The 19450-nt window shown below is 43.6% G+C and overlaps 1 protein-coding gene across 17 annotated transcripts in view, besides 4 other annotated features; it reads left to right on the plus strand.

Annotated features, from left to right (window-relative positions):
• SASH1 (SAM and SH3 domain containing 1) overlaps positions 1-19450 on the plus strand; it is a 358577-nt gene that overhangs the window by 324603 nt on the left and 14524 nt on the right. For 11 of the 17 annotated variants that reach the window (XM_017010599.2, XM_017010600.2, XM_047418497.1 and 8 more), the window contains 7 exons: positions 1477-2312; positions 7221-7295; positions 9383-9526; positions 13456-13591; positions 14727-14896; positions 15701-15910; positions 16681-16831. In XM_017010599.2, the coding sequence (XP_016866088.1) occupies positions 1477-2312; positions 7221-7295; positions 9383-9526; positions 13456-13591; positions 14727-14896; positions 15701-15910; positions 16681-16831 (1722 nt within the window). The remainder of the gene's footprint in view (positions 1-1476; positions 2313-7220; positions 7296-9382; positions 9527-13455; positions 13592-14726; positions 14897-15700; positions 15911-16680; positions 16832-19450) is intronic. The other 6 variants (XM_024446384.2, NM_001346505.2, XM_047418500.1 and 3 more) reach the window with 1 other exon arrangement.
• Positions 2069-2608: an enhancer, noted in NCBI's record as "H3K4me1 hESC enhancer chr6:148841275-148841814 (GRCh37/hg19 assembly coordinates)". NCBI's record gives its function as "activates a minimal SCP1, AML or CMV promoter by ChIP-STARR-seq in primed H9 embryonic stem cells {active_cell/tissue: H9 hESC(primed)}" and the evidence as "EXISTENCE:reporter gene assay evidence [ECO:0000049][PMID:30033119]".
• Positions 2285-2334: an enhancer, noted in NCBI's record as "active region_25233". NCBI's record gives its function as "activates an Ori minimal core promoter by ATAC-STARR-seq in GM12878 lymphoblastoid cells {active_cell/tissue: GM12878}" and the evidence as "EXISTENCE:reporter gene assay evidence [ECO:0000049][PMID:35858748]".
• Positions 14931-15432: an enhancer, noted in NCBI's record as "H3K4me1 hESC enhancer chr6:148854137-148854638 (GRCh37/hg19 assembly coordinates)". NCBI's record gives its function as "activates a minimal SCP1, AML or CMV promoter by ChIP-STARR-seq in primed H9 embryonic stem cells {active_cell/tissue: H9 hESC(primed)}" and the evidence as "EXISTENCE:reporter gene assay evidence [ECO:0000049][PMID:30033119]".
• Positions 15433-15932: an enhancer, noted in NCBI's record as "H3K4me1 hESC enhancer chr6:148854639-148855138 (GRCh37/hg19 assembly coordinates)". NCBI's record gives its function as "activates a minimal SCP1, AML or CMV promoter by ChIP-STARR-seq in primed H9 embryonic stem cells {active_cell/tissue: H9 hESC(primed)}" and the evidence as "EXISTENCE:reporter gene assay evidence [ECO:0000049][PMID:30033119]".

The raw sequence follows: 19450 nt of genomic DNA on the forward strand, positions 1-19450 counted from the left end.
AAGAGGTTGCCATTTTTATTTCCAACAGCATAAGAACCCTTGGTCTCCACACCTTGTCAGTCAGGTGTCCTGAGGAAGGAGCGGGAAACTTCCAGGATATTGGTACCCTGCATCTGGGCTGGTGAATTTCTGTGAGAACCCCGAATCCTGCCTTTAAAGTCCCCCTGAAAGATCCCTGAACAACTCTTCAGGGGACTGTGGGCTAGGCAGAGTTTTACATCTTCTTTTCCACTTTCCAGCTTCCCCACCACCGTCTGCTGGGCATGAATGTAAAGTTGACCTTGGGTTGTATTTAATAGCAGCTGTTCTTTTTTGTTGTTGTTGTTAGATTTGTACCTATAAATCCCATCAATTGGGAAAGTAAGCCATTTTTAGAATTTTAAAGGATGGCTGCCGTTCTTTTCCCCTCTGAGTTTTGCTCTGAACTGAGCATAGCTCCCCTTTTTCTCTGACATTTAACCACACACTGGCGCCCTCGTCCCAGCTGGTATATTTAGTGCCATCCTTCTGTTCCAAGGAACTTTTCCTTTTTTCCTCTTCACAATTCAGCGGGTGGAAAGCTGCAGAGCTCAAAGTTTCCCTATAATTAAAGGGACACAGCCAGTTGGGATCGCTACACCCACAGTTTGACCTACTTCTTTTCTCACATCTGTTCACATAACACATGCGGAAAAGAACTTGGTTTTCCTGCCAAGTCCAAACCTTTCCACCGGGCTCTGGAGGGCTTGGCTTGCCACCTGGCTCCAGTGAGGGCTTCAAGAGCTGGAATCCCTGAGACCAGTGGGACCCTGGAGCTGCCTGCGTGTCAGGGCCCTTAAACGCCCTGGCTGCTCCTAGTGAGGCCTGAGTTGATGGGAGTATCTGGCCGGGATCACTGAGTTTCCTAACTTTTTGCATTTGGCCTGTCAGCTGGAGACGATGTGTCAGTCACATTTGCAAGATACAACGCTTTATAGTGTTTCTCCCCACCAAAACTTCCTTGGAGATTTAGTCACTCAAATGGCATATGTACCAATAAAACAATCACTGTCAGCCACATGACATTTATCACACTCCAACTATAAAAAGCGACCAGAGCCAACATAAAGGAGTGCCTTTCAGAAGGGGGAAAGATCCTGATTCCTAGTTTCAGAGGGTTGCATTTACAAACTGCAGAGGGCATTATCTCGAAATGCTAAGGCATATTGTGATTATGGCTAGCTTAGATTTTGCAAACGGCATTTTAAATACGCCTGTGAAGGTGTTAGGTCTACAAAGATATTTAAAGAAGAAGAAAACACATCTGAATCCTTTTAACATTAAGCTCATGTGAAACCATGTATTTGCACAGTGTATTTTCATTTTTCTGTACATATGTAAGTGGGAGCTGGGTTTATAAAGAGGGTCATGATACGGAGAAAGGTGGTGAATGTAAAGAAAGATGTATGCAAGAATGCAAAGGTGTGTTCACAAGAGACTCTGTTGGTTTCCCTCCAGGTGGGGAGGAGCACGTGTTTGAGAATTCGCCGGTCCTGGATGAACGGTCCGCCCTCTACTCTGGCGTGCACAAGAAGCCCCTTTTCTTTGATGGCTCTCCTGAGAAACCTCCCGAAGATGACTCAGACTCTCTCACCACGTCTCCATCCTCCAGCAGCCTGGACACCTGGGGGGCTGGCCGGAAGTTGGTCAAAACCTTCAGCAAAGGAGAGAGCCGGGGCCTGATTAAGCCCCCCAAGAAGATGGGGACATTCTTCTCCTACCCAGAAGAAGAAAAGGCCCAGAAAGTGTCCCGCTCCCTCACCGAGGGGGAGATGAAGAAGGGTCTCGGGTCCCTAAGCCACGGGGTAAGTACGGATGGTGTTTGCTTCTATGACAACCACCGTCGCAGGCACCACCTTCTGGTGTCCCTGGAGGAGTTTCAGAGTGTCCGGAAGCAAATCCGCTTGAAGAAAACGGATACTAATTATTCCTGTTCCAGAGCTTTTCTCTGCCAGCGTCCCTCCAGAAAAGGCGTCACCAGCACCACCTGTGACCTGCAGCTGCTCCGGCAGAAAGGCAAAGGGGGCGGGAGCTGCGGCTTCCCCGGCAGGAGGGTGCGCGGGCGCACCTCGGTCAGCGAGTTCAATATCACCTACGTGGTGGAGCGGAGCCTGTACAGCCACCTGAACCTGACCCAGCTAGTGCGGCCTGCCTCAGACAGGACCCTGAGCAAGGCTGAGAGACAGGACCTGAGGCGGTGCCTGCTGGAGGAGGATGAGGAGGCAAAGAGGAAGTGGGCCGCCACGGTCGACCGCTGTACTAAAAGGGTTCTCTTGAGAATCCACCAGAAGTCTGTGAGTCACAAAGATGGTCCTGAGGACGGCCTTGTCATTTCTGTGATGTGCAGTCAAGCATTATGGCCTTTCTTCTGCGGGGACCGGCTTCCTCCCCTCTCTCCTGCTCATGACGTCAGGGCACATCCCACCATCACCTTCAATTTCAAATCCTGCTTTCACTTCCAGGCAGCTTTCACCTTCTCTTCCATTTCTCCTCTTGTCAGATGAAGCTGTTTGAGTGCCCATTAAAATAAGCATTGAAGCTAATCCAGAGAGGGGCTTCCAGGGTACAGGGGTGGGGTTTGGCCGCCTCCAGGAGTGGCTGTCTTGATTCTCGGCCATTATGTCACTTGACCTCAAAGAAGCTGATTCAAAACAGAAGGGCATTTCACCCTTGAAAGAGATGCTTGCTCTTGGTTTTAAAATTAAAACAATAGGAGCAGGCTCATGGAAAAACTGCCGTCATCACAGTCACCAATTTGGTGATTTGAAAACATTTTAAAGCACATTTATTTTATTAGTAGAGGCAAGCAGAAAGTTCGTAAATCTAACAACAAAAATGGGAGCTTTTTTGTTTTACTTAAGTCTATTCCATGTTCTTATCTTTATAAACAAATCAACATTTGGAAATGCCTTCCCCTAGCCTATAGATTCTTCTGTACTCAGCAAGGAATAAAGTACTCACTTTCAAAGAGTAGGATGTTTTTCACTTTTAACGCTGGATGATCAGAGACCTAGTAAGATTTATTTTCAAGGCATGACTTACTTTGAACTTCAGAATATAGATATTTTTCCTTCTGAAATTCCCACCTAACTTTTAGTTTGCACAGTGGCACATATAAAATGGTGCAAAGTGAGGAAGTAGATTTCTTGGCCCTCTGTCACCTGGCACCTTGCTTGATCTGCTCAGGACAGTTGGCTGTGGGCCCTTTTAAAGACCTGAAAGAATAGAGTGTCCTTCAATAGTGGTTTTCCCAGGGGGCCTTCCCGTTCATGAACAGGATGTTCTTCCCCAGACGATCAGTGTAATTTAAATTCATTCAGTCGGGTTCTGCTTTTGTGAAAGTGAAGACGGATTGGTCAATGCCATTCTTAAAACGACCTTCTCTGTTGTAAAAGAATCCTTAGGTCCTTCCTAGCCCCTGGGTTTTCCACATATTTCCACATGTTGACTTTCCTTATTTTCTGTCCTTTCATATTCATGTAATTCTTGCAGCACTTTTAATACTACTAGTATGTAGCAGGAACTTTTCTTCTGGCTCTTTCTGTATCATGGCAACAGTTTTTCAATGGTTGAGTTTTTGTTTTAAAATAACAATTCTCTTTCTCACTCATTCAGCCTCTGGTTTGCTCTGACTCACAGATATTTTGAAAAATAACCAGTCTTAGTTTTATGTATTTATTTTTTACTTTCAGAAGTGTTCTACCCAATTCATCTGCTCTTGTATGTTTTGACATGACCTTGATAGAACAGACGCACTTCTTCTGTTAATTGATGACTCACCTCTGTGAGTTTACATCATGTAATACTGAGAAATTTCCCAATCTGAGCACCTTGAATTGTTGATGTGCCTCTCATGTTATTTACTGTCAGATTAATACTATAACTCCATGAGGGCCTTGTCTCTAGAAGTTATATTTCTGGGATTTGTGCTAGTTAGTGTTGTAGGCCAGTGATTAATTCTTCATTGACATTGAGTATGGACATTTGGGCAAGCTCATCTCCAGGCACCGCCCCCACCTAACGTGCTCCTGTGTAATCCCTATCCCAAGTATCAGTCTGAGGCTGAGTATTTTTAAAATACTGTGAGCTTGAGACACTAATGGACAGTTTGAACACTTGCAAAAATATGTGTTCAGTAGGAAGTTATATATTTGCATATTCCTTTTCTTGTAGTACAGTTGTACAATCAAACAAATTTAACTTTCTAATTATCCAGAGAATGTAAATAAGTGTTCTATCATCTTACAATAGAAAGAACTTTTTTAAAAAGGGATTAATCTTATTTCTTTGCTAGATTTATTTAAAAGGTTATTTTCCATTCTCCTTGTCATATTTCTTTCATTTTATCTAAAAGTTTCCTTTATTCTTCAACCTCAAGCTCTTTGTCTTTCGAAAATGCCATATTTGCTTGATGAAGCCTCAGGGAAATGATAATGCTTTGTATCCACTGGAAGTGGTCACTTGTCTCGTATTTTATTTGGTCATTCAATTTTTGTTTGAGAGAACAGACATGCATGACATTTTGCAATTTTGTCCATTTTTGAATTCAACCCCAAAACATGTGTTTCCAACTGCATGGCCATTCCATTGACTAGCCCTCCTCATCCCAAGCATCTATCTAAAGTGTTTTTATAATTTTCAGTACAGGAAGTGTGTGAACTAAAAAAACTTCATTTAGGCTTCATTTATTTAGGTCATCAACGTCAAGGGCTGGTTCATGTATTGATTTATTTTTTATGAGTCTCTTTACAGTCCATTTTCTCTTTTGAAGGAATGCTGTTTAAAGAACTACTTGATCTTATAGAAAAAGTTAGAAATTAATTCAAGCAATCTTTATTGTTATATTCTTTGTCACTCCTCCACTGTAAAAAAGAATCAATTCCAGATATCTTAGCCTATCACTGAAAGAGGTTTTAGTTGGTAGTTAAGAAAACTGGTCCATTCTTTCAGTTTTTCATTTTAGAAATAAATGCATACAATAGGCATGTGAAAACTTAAATGAGATTCTAATTTATTGCAGTCATAATTTCCACATAAATTCTTTGTCACTTATTTCATATGTATCAGAAATAACTTGGGCTCCAACATTGCAGTAGATGCTGTGGTTTAAAGCAGGGACGTGCAAAAGCCATACAATGATGAGGCATCTGGGTGCCATACCATGTCTGTGAAGCCCTGAGTCACGGGAAAGGAACTAGAATAAAATCACTGCTTTTGCAAGAAGGAGGAAATGTACATGGCATTATAAGCTGGAAAGAGAAGGTTAATGTTAAAAATTAGCCTTGAGAGGTGGTCATAACATTGCTTACCCAGTTAGGTGATTTGGTGAATATATTTGTGTAGAAAGGTTTTTCTCTTTCTATAGAATAGATATAGGTCCAGTTAAGCTGACGATAAGAGAAATCAGATTGCCCATTGATATTTAATACAGAATTAGGATAATGTCTATTAGAAAACAAGTCGGTAGTAGCAGCAGCAGCAGCAGCATCGGTGAATAAGAACAGCTCTGAGACCTCCTGATGTCAGTTGTCACGAAATGCTTTCCTTATCTCCTGGCCCTCTCCAGACCCCAATGGCCGTCTCTCACTTTGTGGCCCATTCCTGGTATGCTCTGATTTTATAGTTGAACTCCCAGATTAGATTGTAAGGCCCAGAACAAAGCTCCAGCCCTGTATTTGCATATTTGTAATGTTAACTAAGCCTCAACTTCAGTATAACAGCTGTCAGGATGACTACCACATTCTCAGTACAGCCTTAATGAAAAGTAGTGGAAGAAACCAGCATTCATAGAGTGTCTGCCTTGTGCCAGGCAGTGCGCTAGAAGGCTTCAAATATGATATAAGTATTATTTTAATAATGAAGAATCTAAAGCTCAGAGAGTGTAAGTACTTTACCTGAGATCACACAGCAAGTAAGTGGCAGAACCAGGATTTGCATCTAGATTTCTGTGATTTCAAAAATGTAGGCATTTTCCTTCTAGGATGTTTCTACTTTATCAATTCAGTTAATTATATATATATATATATATATATATTTTTTTTAATGAATAAGCAATGCTTATAGTATATTAGGTTGGTGCAAAAGTAATCGCAGTTTTTACCATTGAAAATAATGGCAAAACTGCGATTACTTTTGCACCAACCTAATACATTGTACTTTTCTGTTCATTTCTTCCATTTAATAGCTGTTCATTAGACTTCTCTGAGAAGCTGGTAATACAAAATATTGAAGCCCGAATCTACAATTAAACTTTTATTACTGATTTTTAAAAAAGATAATTAGCTGTAACATTAATGTGTGTTGTGGGGCACAGGGCGGTCACTCAGTGGCTTTTACTAGAAAAACAACAGTGAATTTGAATCAAGTTCTGCAAATACAGAAATCACTAAGATATAAGCAGTTCCGTGAAGTTTGCAACCACCTAAAAGGATAATAAAGTTTTCATTCTTTATAACATCAGCATTGTTCCTACTGAAATTAAAAAGTGTGGTCAAACACAGTCACTGAATCAACCGTTTTCTTTCTGGGCAAATGTGGCATCTTCATTCACTGAGAGAAAAGGGTCACCATGAATTAACTTGGGCAGTTCGATGGGAAAGTTACCAGCGTTTTTGGCTAGGATGGGGAAGCGGTGAGTGAGTAATTCTCTTGGCCTGATTGGACAACTGTAAACATAACCTTCTCCCCCCCTCTTCTCAGCGATTTAAAGCTAAACAAAATGAAAGTCTGTTTGAAAAGCTTGCTGTTGGTGTCAGAGCCGTGGGATTTCAAACCTGGGTTTTCAGGATGCCTGAGTACATGGATCCTCTAACACATATCCCTTCATTATCTCTACTGAATGTAGCTGATGTTAGGGGAAGTTCTGTGCTGGAGACAGGGAATCTCACAGCACTGGACTCATGGAGGGTTTTTCTTTTGTTTTTTAGGCTTTTTAAAAAAAATGGTTGGTTTTTGCATGTTAAGGGGATTCTAGACCTCTGGGGTAGGCAGAGTTCCAGTGGCCTGTGAAAGGGAAAAATGAGTGAAGTTTCCTTACGACATGACTCATGTGTTTTTTTCTCATCATTTCTCGTTTTCTACTTTCATCCTGTCCACGTATTTGTGATTCAGAGATGTCCTGCAAACGGGGACTGCTGGGTTGGTGCACTGCCGGCTGGCTTAAGCATAACTGAAGTTTTTCTGCCCTACCCTCTTTTCCACAGAGAACCTGCAGTTTTGGAGGATTTGACTTGACGAATCGCTCTCTGCACGTTGGCAGTAATAATTCTGACCCAATGGTGAGTAACATCAGAGGAAAGCAAAAAATATGGATTCAGGCGATGAGGTTGACAATAGTTCACCATTGAGTATCTTTGAGAATTGATACTGGGTACCGTTTTCCTTGGTAATCCTGAGTCACGTTTGGAAAAAAGCTCTATTTCACTTGCCTTACAGACTCCACTGTTCCACGTGGAATGAATGATGACCACTCTCACTGCCATCTCCTTCCTTGAGTAGCACAGTTCCTTTAATGCCTTTGCTTCCAGTTTTCTTCAAGTAACAAATCCAGATAAGTCTGGCCTCTGTGGTCTGAGTCATTTTGCACACGGCCTTTTCTTCTTGCTAGTTGCAAGCATGTAACTACTACACACACATAGTGCCATGAAGTGGAGCCCTGTGATTTGGTCCCCAAGAGTATGTGCTGGCATTTTGGAACACCAGTCTTATTATGGGCCCAGTACCTGGCCCCACATGGCCTATACTAAGCCTAGGATTTTGTGGTCTGGGGTGTCCTGGAATGAACCCAGTCTCTGTGGGACCAAAGCAGACCAGATCCCTCAGGGGTCTGGTGTCAGGCCCAGGTGTCTGCCCTCTCAGACCTGCTTTGGGGTCATAGTCTAGGGACAGGCCACCACAGTGGCACACAAGTTTTGTTTCCTGAAATTTGCTTTCTCAGACCCCAAGGGTGAAGGTGAGTCTTTTTTTTTTTTTTTTTTTTTTTTTTTTTTAAGATGGAGTCTCGCTCTGTAGCCCAGACTGGAGTGTAGTGGCACAATCTTGCCTCACTGCAACTTCTGCCTCCCAGATCCCAGTTAAGCAATTCTCCTGCCTCAGCCTCCCGACTGGCTAGGATTACAGGTGCACGCCACCATGCCCAGAGAATTTGTGTATTTTTAGTAGAGATGGGGTTTCTCCATGTTGGCCAGGCTGGTCTTGAACTCCTGACCTTGTGATCCGCCCATCTTGGCCTCCCAGAGTGCTGGGATTACAGGTGTGAGCCACGCGCCCGGCCTTTGGTGAGTCTTACATGTAGTTTAGCTTGTCCTTTGCATTGTGTCATAAAACTGTAAAATGAAGATTTCATGTTTCATATTTGTTATGATCATGGGTCAGCTAAAATACCCACCTGGGATATATATGAAATGTTTTGAAAATTTCCTGGAAGAGAATTAAACTATTTTATTTGGCTATCGAATTATATTGATTCTTAAGCCAATAGTTTTCTGCTGTCAATCTTTTTTAGAAATGAGAGAAAATATGATTTTTTTCTTTCTCAGGGAGAAGTTTGTTTTTTAAAAAAATGCAGACTAGAATGAGAGATGACCACAATCTAGCTCTTTAAGAGAGAGAAATTTACACACTGAGTGCTATGGTGATGGAAATCCAATCAGATGTTGCTCTTCTAACGACTGAGCTTTCACCATTTGTTCTAATCTCTTTCTCCAGGCAATTCGGTAGTATTATCCCTCTATTCTCCCCCATTGCTGGGATTACATGAACATTGGTTCATGTAAATCACTTTTTTTTTTTTTTTTTCCCTCTGAGAGGGAGTCTCACTCTGTCGCCCAGGCTGGAGTGCAGTGACGCGATCTCAGCTCACTGCAAGCTCCACCTCCCGGATTCACACCATTCTCCTGCCTCAGCTTCCTGAGTAGCTGGGACTACAGACGCCCACCACCACGCCCAGCTAATTTTTTGTATTTTTAGTAGAGACGGGGTTTCACCGTGTTAGTCAGGATGGTCTCGATCTCCTGACCTCGTGATCCACCTGCCTCAGCCTCCCAAAGGTAAATCACTCTTTACTGATGAAATGCAGCCCCCTTGGATGTTAAAAATAGTGGAAAAAATGTAACCTGATAAGAATGTACTAAAAGTAAGTAAAATAAAAAGTGACTCACATCCCACTTTAAGCAAACAAAAATAGTCAATAAGCTTTAATTTTTAATCAAAGAGATAAATAATAGCACTGAGTTAACACAAGAAAAACGTCAAGATCCATGAGGAATGTCAATATTTCTGAGAGCTAGGATGTTAATGGTTTAAATAATAAAACCTGTTCTTCATTTTCTGCGACCAACAATACTTGCAACATTTTGTTTTACAGGGTAAAGAAGGAGACTTTGTGTACAAAGAAGTCATCAAATCACCTACTGCCTCTCGCATCTCTCTTGGGAAAAAGGTGAAATCAGTGAAAGAGACGATGAGAAAGAGAATGTCTAAAAAATACAGCAGCTCTGTCTCTGAGCAGGTATGCAGCTACCTGGTAGAATGTTCCCTTGGTTCTTCCTGACAAGAAAAGCTGAGAATGGCCCTTCTGAGATTTTAAATGGTGCTAAATACACATACTCCTTGGCATTAACCTGCTCCAAGTCCGTGCTTTATTTACGTAGAGAAACACTGAATTCAACACACGTTTATTAAGCACTTTGGGCTGCTCAGCACCGTGCTTGGTGCTGGGAATACAAAATACAGAACTTGCCTTCTGTGTACAGACAAGAGAGACAGACATGTAAAGAAATGGTTATTCTTCAGTGCACTAAGCGTTGTAAATTTGAATACAAAGGAAGGATTTTATTTTCTAAACTATGCCTTGCTACAAAATGGATGTTACCTGAATCAAACCTAAAGCTTTTTTTTTTTGGGGGGGGGGGTGGCAGTAGACTTGTCGATCATAGCATAAGTTGTTCTAGAAGCACATAGCCAGTCTAAGAAATAAACTCAAAGTTCTTCCTGGGTACCAGGCTTTGGTAATAATGTTTCAGAGAGGGGTGTTTTCCCTCATTTGCCTTATCTGTAGCCATGAAGGAAGGTATCATAGAATTGATTTTTCCCCCCTGGATCTATAATTTCATTGCTAGAGAAATGACTGTTTCTGTCTAAATTGCATGGGTGGAGGGAGTAAAGATAGTTGGAGAGCTGGGCCTCAAGGTAATTATGACCATTCAATTTTCAAGACACTCTCCTCCAGCACCTGTATAGCACTCATTTTGTAGCCTGTTGAAGTTCCTGTGTATGAGCTGGTTGTCTGCTTGAAATATGTAGGTAATGCACTTTATCTACCAAATAAAAACAGCAGGAAAAGCAGACATTTTTGCTCAGCTGCTGCTCTCTGGTGGGCACAGTGAGCTAAAACCAAGCATCGCCCCTATGCGAATGACCGAACGTCACCAGCCTGCCACCCACCTCACTTGATTCAAACAAAGCCTGCACAGCAGCTTCAGTTGATTACAGTGGTTCTCACGGGGAAGGGGTGAGAGGCTATCATTTTGCTCCCCCATGGACTCCAGGGCAATGTCTTTCAATGGTCAGACTGGGTTGAGGTGAAGTGGAGTGGATATTGCTGGCATCTAGGGCAGCAGTGCCCAATCTTTTTGCACCAGGGACTGGTTTCGTGGAAGGCAATTTTTCCACGGAGCTGGTGTAGGTGGTGGTTTCAGGATGATTCACATGCATTACATTTATTGTTCACTTCATTTCTATTGTTATTACATTGTAATATATAATGAAATAATTATACAACTCACCATAATGTAGAATCAGTGGGAGCCCTGAGCTTGTTTTCCTGCAACTAGATGATCCCATCTGGGGATGATGGGAGACAGTGACAGATCATCAGGCATTAGATTCTCATAAACAGCGTGCAACCTAGATGCCTCGTGTGCACAATTCACAATAGGATTCGTGCTCCTACGAGAATCTAATACCGCCGCTGATCTGACAGGAGGTGGAGCTCAGACAGTAATGCGGGTAATGGAGAGTGGCTGTGAAAACAGATGAAGCTTGGCCTGCTCACCCGCCACTCACCTCCTGCTGTACGGCCCACTTCTTAACAGGCCACAGACGGGTTCTGGTCCGTGGCCCGGGAGTTGGAGAATGCTGATCTAGAGGATAGAGGCCAGGGACGCTGCCAAACATCTTAGCATGCACAGGACGGTCTGCACAGCAAAGAGCTGTCCATCAAAATGATCAGTGCTCAGGCTGAGAAACCGTGGCTTGTTAGACCTGCAGGAGATAGATGTCTGGACTGCCTTCAGCATGTCTTATCCATGATTTTTTTTCTTTATTCTTTTCATTCTCTTGTCCTTGTGGGTGACGGAGTGATAGTGATTCTATATTTCTTCCCAGCAATGAAGCAGTCAGCATGCTAGTGAGAGCATGCTACTAATTGAAAGCATTTTATTAAGTTTGCTTTTCCCCAAGATAGATTGAAACAGCCACTAAAACTCTTAAGCTTTACGTTCACAGAGGTTTTCTGCTTTATGAATCAGAAGCATAGAATTTTAATGTCATTTTGGCATTTTTCAATAATTTTACTACCATATAGCAATCTTATGTGCTTAGTTCTGTTTTTTTAAAGCAGCCATTTCACATAAGTTAAGGAATAAAAGAAACAACTGATCATTATAAATTTTCTGTAAAGCAAAAATAATGGAAGGTTTTATGTGGTTGTTTTTTTTTTGTTTTTGTTTTTGTTTTGAGACGGAGTGTCACTCTGTCACCCAGGCTGGAGTGCAATGGTGTGGCCTCGGCTTACTGCAACCTCTGCCTCCTGGGTTCAAGCGATTCTCCCACCTCAGCCTCTTGAGTAGCTGGGACTACAGGCACGTGCCACCATACCCGGCTAATTATTGTATTTTTAGTAGAGATGGGGTTTCACTACGTTGGCCAGGCTGGTCTCGAACTCCTGACCTCGTGAGCCACCCACCTCAGCCTCCCAGAGTGCTGGGATTACAGGCATGAGCCACTGCGCCCACCTTGTGTGTTTTTTTAAAAAAACTTTTTAGTAAATATACCAACCATTATGGTAGGGATATTTGTTTTCTCCGTTGCTGCTATATGCCCAATACCTGGATTAGTGCCTGTTATTGTAGGTAATTCATAAACATGTGATGAATAAATTAATAATTTTTTAAAGCATTTGAAAATATATCAGAGACCCACATTTACTATTGCTGTTTTTCAAACTGCGTGCTTTTTTCAGAAGCATTACAGAAGATTTTAATGGGAAAAAAGTTACTTATTTTATGACGCAGAAAGGAGGAATGAATTTTTTTTTTTTAAGGAATTCATACTTTGGAGCTTCAGTAACTTCCTAATAATGTCAGCTCTAGTTTTCTTTGTTGTTTTTGAGGTCGCTTGCTCACTTTCCTCACATTGAAAGCACTAATGTGTGTTGGATCAGAAGCTGCTGTTGCTGATGTCCTCAGATGTTTGCAGGACCTGCGGAGCTGTGTTAAGGCCCTTCTGATGACTCGGCAGCATGCAAATAGCAGGTTTCATTTTAGCTGGTTTTGAGCCCGTGTGGCTGCGGCCATATGTAATATGCCAGAGACTTTTCTATTTTGGCAAGTAAACAATTCTCACTGCAAACTTTCTGAAGTGTGATATCGTCTATTGATGTAGCACCACGAATCAAATAAGCATGCTATACTCAAATGTGCAAATGAGGAGCCGCTGAGAGGATAATACTTAGCTACTCAAAATGCAGGAAGTACTGCTGAGTCACTCCCATCAGGATTCTGGTGTGAAAGAGATTTCCCAGCTTTTTACTGACAACACTTTAGAAAAGTGAAAGAAGCTAAAACTTTAGAGTAACATATGGAAATTTTATGGTAGACTGGAAAATAGTATGTTTGCTGTATATGTGGGTTTTAAATTCATGTTTCCTTATCCAATGCCAATAATTTGTACAAATAGAAATATAAGAATCTAGCCAATTTTTTTTTTCCAGGAATACACTTTTTTAAAAGTGCATGTTTCCTATCCAAGTAGATTAAATATCCTCTGACTACACTTCCAGGTATTCTAGTAATCATGGATTGTACTTGATCTACATTTGAAGTCCAGCCTTGCTACTGGGCTTTTGCGTATGCTGAGTCTCTAAACCTTTAAGTATTTTGTCTGTGTGGTAGACAGATTTTTTTTTTCTTGGAGATTCCAAGAATATCTATTCGAGAATGAGAAATAGTATTTGAGTGCTTAATAAATAGTGACATTGGCCACGACTTTAAAAGTAAGCGAGGATGTAAGTTTAAGAGGAGGAGAATATTGGTTATAGAATCAAATATAGGTATAGATTGATTTGATTGATTTCGTTGAAGGCCAAGTCGCTGAGAATTACAAAACAACACCTGTCCACTCTGATGAACTTCTTCATTTTGTTGAAACCCATGGCAGGACTCGGGCCTTGATGGAATGCCTGGCTCCCCTCCGCCTTCACAGCCCGACCCCGAACACTTGGACAAGCCCAAGCTCAAGGCCGGGGGTTCTGTAGAAAGTCTTCGCAGTTCTCTCAGTGGGCAGAGCTCCATGAGTAAGTCGAGTTTGTCATTGTAGATTATTTTCTTTGGAGTTAATATCTGACATATACTGAGCACTAGGTTCAGGCAATTTCAAGGTGAATAAGACCAAGTCCTGCCCTTCAGGTGCTATTAGAGAATCAGACCAATAAACTCTCTGGACTCAGAGTCGTGTTTGTTTATTAGTAGACATGCAGCAGCAGCAGCCCAAAACAGGAGGTGATGAATTTTGATCGGAGACAATAGGGAAAGCATCTCAGAGGAAGGATCTAGAGAGCAGGGGGAATAAGCCAGGGAGACAAGCACATGAAGATGACCAGCAAAATAAAGGGAGTGGGGAAGGGAGGGGAATTTTATATGTGACTGATAAATTCGGGCCAATGGTAGTTGGAGTTGGCTGAATGGTATGAAGGAAAAGATCAACTTTATTTTATTTTTATTTTTATTTTTGAGATGGAGTCTCACTGTCTCCCAGGCTGGAGTGCAGTGTTGTGATCTCAGCTCACTGCAACCTTCACCTCCCTGGCTCAAGGGATCCTCCTGCCTCAGCCTTCCGCATAGCTGTACTACAGGGTCATGCCACCACACCCGGCTAATTTTGTTGTAGAGACGGGGTTTTGCCATGTAGCCCAGGCTGGTGGAACTCCTGGACTCAAGCGATCTGCCCACCTCGGCCTCCTAAAGTGCTGGGATTATAGGCGTGAGCCACCGTGCCCCGAGATCAAGTTTAAACCTACCACTTTAAGCTCTTTCTTACCCTTTTGGGCAAATGACATGACTGCTCTGAATTTGTTTCCTCATCTGTAAAATGGTTAGAGAGAGTGTGCATTACCACTGAGAGGTCACGAATGTTAAGAGCAGAGTCTGGTGCCTGGCCCTGCAGTGTCCTCCACGCGGGATCCTCCGTGCCACATGGATTCCCAGGTCATGAGGGTAACTTGCTGTGAGTCCCCTGTCCACTGAGGAGCTGAGGGATAGCACTCGGAGAATTCATAACTGGGCCCTGCCCTGGTCCTGACAGAGGGTTGTGGCTCAAGGCTTCCTTTCTCTGGGCCTTCATTTCCTAATCTGCCATACCTTCAATACCTTTCTGCTTTGCTGGGTGGGAAATCTGGATCTACCCGTGTTCTTCCTATGTTTCCTGTACAGGCGGTCAAACAGTGAGCACCACTGATTCCTCAACCAGCAACCGGGAAAGCGTCAAGTCGGAAGATGGGGATGACGAAGAGCCGCCTTACCGAGGCCCGTTCTGCGGGCGTGCCAGGGTGCACACCGACTTCACCCCCAGTCCCTATGACACAGACTCACTCAAGCTCAAGGTATCTCTCTCCCTGGCCTCAGAGCAGCTAACTGGGCTCTTCCATTTCTCTAGGAGGCTTTCTTTCCTCCTCACTGTTGAATGCTGGGCTACTATGGTACAGACTGGACAGTATCTTGGCTACCTCGATCACTGGTCTCCTCTGTAGTGAAAAACAGAACAAGAACCAGCCAGCCCTCGAGGCAGAGGGAGGGTCTCGTGTTAATCCCTGGGTTAGCATCACTTCACCCCTCTGACCTCAGCTTCCCTCTAGAATTCCTGTTGCACACCCTCCCTCTCCCCACCTGGCTCCTGCTCCACACACCTGGTTTCTGTGTTTTCTCCATCTGAAGAAAGATTTCTGCCTTCTGTGTGCTCAGAGGTACCTTTATGGGACAGATGGGGTTCCACAAAGTGTGTGCAGCCATGACAGGGCCGGGATTGCCACTGGTTAGGACAGGTGGGAAGTGCCTCCTCTAAGAAGTGGGAGCCCTCTGAGGAGGGAAGGCGTTCAGAGTGCCGGGCGGGCAGCCTGGCTGAGAGCACCAGGGGTACCCCAGGCACCCCTGGTTCTGCAGGGCAGGAGGGTGGAGGGGCTGTGACCGGGGGCCTGCGTGGAATTCCGTACAGTCAGAGACACCTGTCTGGCCTCTGCGGAGCTCACAGTCACATCCTATGCAGGTCACTCAGAGGGGTGACTTGTGGGACCCCGATTCTGGCCTTTGTGGCATCTTCACTTCTGCATGACCTGTGTATCTGACAGATTCTTGATTTGTACGTTCATGGAATGTACCTAATGGAAAGATCTTTGCTCCCTGGGCCACAGAAAGGAGATATCATCGATATAATCAGCAAGCCACCCATGGGGACCTGGATGGGCCTGCTGAACAACAAAGTCGGCACGTTCAAGTTCATCTACGTGGACGTGCTCAGTGAAGACGAGGAGAAACCCAAACGCCCCACCAGGAGGCGTCGGAAAGGACGACCACCCCAGCCCAAGTCTGTGGAGGATCTCCTGGATCGGATTAACCTAAAAGTCAGTCGCTTCTGATTCTTGTCACACGCTACTACCTCACTGCCTTTTTCTCTCCTACACTAAGCAAGTGAGGGCATTTTTAGGGTAGGGTTGGGGCTGATCTGTGTGGTCCAATAAGGGCAGCTCGTTACTATGATGAGCATTCATTATTCTACAGAAAGAGTTAGTTAGTTACCAGTTTTCCAACACTGCCCTTGACCTCAGCTGTGGGTGATAGCGTAAGCCCCGGGTCAAACCTTGCTGCTGGAAGAGCTGTAGGCAGAAACTCCTGGCACCTTGATCGCAGCTAGCTCCACAGGGGCCACAAGGAAACTCTGCGCCCACCTCTCTCCCACCATCACTCCAGGCATCTACTAGCATGAGTCTGCAATGAGAGATTATGTTTCCTCTTTGCAAAACTCTTGATCCTGAGGACTTAAAAGCTGGATTTTAATAGCTCTGTAAGTGGAGGAGGAGTCTCCTCTGTTGTGGGCTCTGTGGAGGTAAAGGAATTAGCTCTTATCAAGAGTACAATTATAGTGCAAGCCAGCAGAATCCATCACAGCCTGCAATGTACATCTTCCTAACCCATGATTAATAAAACACCCTGCTTGCCTACTAAGCCAGAGGGCTGGGATGTACAGGATCCATTGCAAATGATACTTACTAATCTTTTGATTAGCCTGAAGGTGACTATGGGAACAGTGTGTGGGTTGCAGGCTAGTTGTTGGCGGTGTTATCATGTGTCTGGGCTGGCTGACACCCTTCTGTCTTCCTTCTCCCTCTCACAGGAGCACATGCCCACTTTCCTGTTCAATGGATATGAAGATTTGGACACCTTTAAGCTGCTGGAGGAGGAAGACTTGGATGAGTTAAATATCAGGGACCCGGAACACAGAGCTGTTCTCTTGACAGCAGTGGAGCTGTTACAAGAGTATGACAGTAAGTCCCTGTATGCACAGAGGTGTTCCCTGTGAGGTCTGCCACAGCAGGCCCCACGTATGCTGCCAGTATGTGCTTAGGTCCCTGGAGTCACTTATTCTGTCCTGTTCTTTCTGTTACAAGAGTATGACAGTAAGTCCCTGTACGCACAGAGGTGTTCCCTGTGAGGTCTGCCACAGCAGGCCCCACCTACGCTGCCAGTATGTGCTTAGGTCCCTGGAGTCACTTATTCTGTCCTGTTCTTTCCCATGCCAAGGTCAAACAGCACAAAATCATAAATTCCCAGTGCAGACATGGGAACAAAAGAAAACCTCCTGTGCCGCCGCCACCTTTCCGGGCATGTTTCTAGGTGATAGTTGAAGAGGATTCTGCACCAAGTGTCTGCAAGAATGGAATTACAGTTTTCCCAAAAAAATGGGTAGACTCCACTTTCAGTACTTTTGAGAGGTGCAGCCTCCAGCAGGCCATTGGGACAGCTGAGCACAAAAGTGACTGACCAGCTGGGAGGTTTTCGCTCAGCCAAAGCTTGATTACTTCTCAGAGCACACGAGGAGTTGTGTTCTTATTGAATAGACTGGTTAGTGAATAAATGAAATTCATCAGCTTTCGTTAAAGGAGGAGACGTCTCTCCGCAGTGAATATGTAGAGCAGAGAATTCCGTATCGATTGGCTTGCAAATTCCCAACCTAAATGACAGCTTATTTTTACAGCCTGTGAGCAGAATCATCACTGAGCTCACAGCTTTTATGAAGTCTGTCTATTTGAATACACCATACCCTTTGCTCCATTAACTCAGTCTTATCTTGCTCTGTATTATTCAATCTGCCATCAGAAATATTCCTGAAATCATTCATCTTAAAGGAGTATCCTTTCCAGTTACTGAATTCAAACACGTTTTCCTTCAAGGACTCTGCTTCAGGGATATCAGTAGCTAATAGCATTTCTGTTGCTAAAAGACACACCAAAACCATGGTTAATGGTGGAAAAAAGAATTATACATTACTGAAATGTATCAGGCCTGAGAAACGTGGAAGCAAGTGTCATTAGGTGAAATTCCCTTCTGCTAAATAGGCAGTCCCTCTAAATGAACTGGTAAGCTAGAGAAACACACACCATCAGATAGATGTCTGAGCCTAAGATAAACAGGCTGCCTTTAGGGATAGATTTGGGATAGATTTGGAGGCAATTGTGATTCATAGTTAATATCACTTTATAACAAGGTCTTTTAAGTAAGTATTTGATTGCCCAAGAGACACTTTGGGGTCTGTGGCCAGGTTGCGTGTAAAGAGCCTGCACGGTAACTGGTGTAGCCTACCAGCTCAATTAGTATGAATCAGTATTAAAGCATCTATTGTCCCGAACCACATCTGCCCAGAAACAGCTCACTTGCTCTTCCTCAGTCACCAAGAACAGCTGGGGTTTTTGTTTTGTTTTGTTTTATTTTGTTTTGTTTTTGAGACAGAATTTCACTCTCGTTGCCCAAGCTGGAGTGCAGTGGTGCGATCTTGGTTCACCGCAACCTCCGCCTCCCGGGTTCAAGCAATTCTCCTGCCTCAGCCTCCCGAGTAGCTGGGATTACAGGCATGCACCACTACGCATGGCTAATTTGTGTATTTTTAGTAGAGACGGGGTTTCACCATGATGGCCAAGCTGGCCTCAAACTCCTGACCTCAGGTGATCCGCCCACCTCGGCCTCCCAAAGTGCTGGGATTACAGGTGTGAGCCACTGCATCCAACCAACAGCTGGTTTATATATACTCTCCATGACATTTCCTTTATCATCCACAGCTTTGGAGGAGAAAAGCTAACTCCTGAGTGTAAGGCAGGAATCTGTGCTTAGACTGCTCCATGCCACTTTGGCTGAGACCCATCATTCCTCCTGGGATCACATCCTGAGATTTTTGTACCAAGGAGCATTTTGTAGGAGGGTATCGCTATCCATCAGGTTGCTAACCTGGAAGGTGAAGAAGACCTCTTTGCCTCTTCAGACATTCCATTGTGGATCTATTCTGCTCTGGTGTTTAGAACGTCCCTGATAGATAAAGTTGTACTTCCTTTTATTGGTTCTAAAACAAAGGCTTCAAGGTTCCAGAGTACCCATTAGTGCCAAGAGTCAGGGTCCAGACTTTTCCTAGCATTATAGGATTTTTACATCCAATACAGTTAAAGTCATCGTGGCTAAGAAGTAGTGCCTCTAACTGATAACATGATAGGTTTCTGTCAAACAAGATTTCCATACACTAGGGAGATGCAGAGGTCTATTGAGATCTTTGAAGATATGTAGGGATCTTGAAAGGTTTCTAGCTTAGCCATAACTGAGAGCAAAAAGTACATTTCCAGCACTACTTGGAAGTCAGACCCGTCCAGCCTCCCTCGAAGCGTGGGAAAATGCCAGCCATCATATAGGGTTCCATTGGGAAAAGACTCTAATTGTCAGATGGCTATTCCTTACGCCAAGCCCAGACCCACTATCTTAGGTCTGGCAAATGAAAGCCTCTTACAAATTGCTAAAAGAATTTTTACTTGTGGTAAAATACAGATAATCTAAAGTTTACTGTCTTAGCCATTTCTAAGTATAAACAATAACTTGTATAAGAATTCTAATTAGGAATTATTTCA

The sequence above is a fragment of the Homo sapiens genome, chromosome 6 (genome assembly GCF_000001405.40).
Source record: "Homo sapiens chromosome 6, GRCh38.p14 Primary Assembly".
Lineage (NCBI taxonomy): Eukaryota > Metazoa > Chordata > Mammalia > Primates > Hominidae > Homo > Homo sapiens.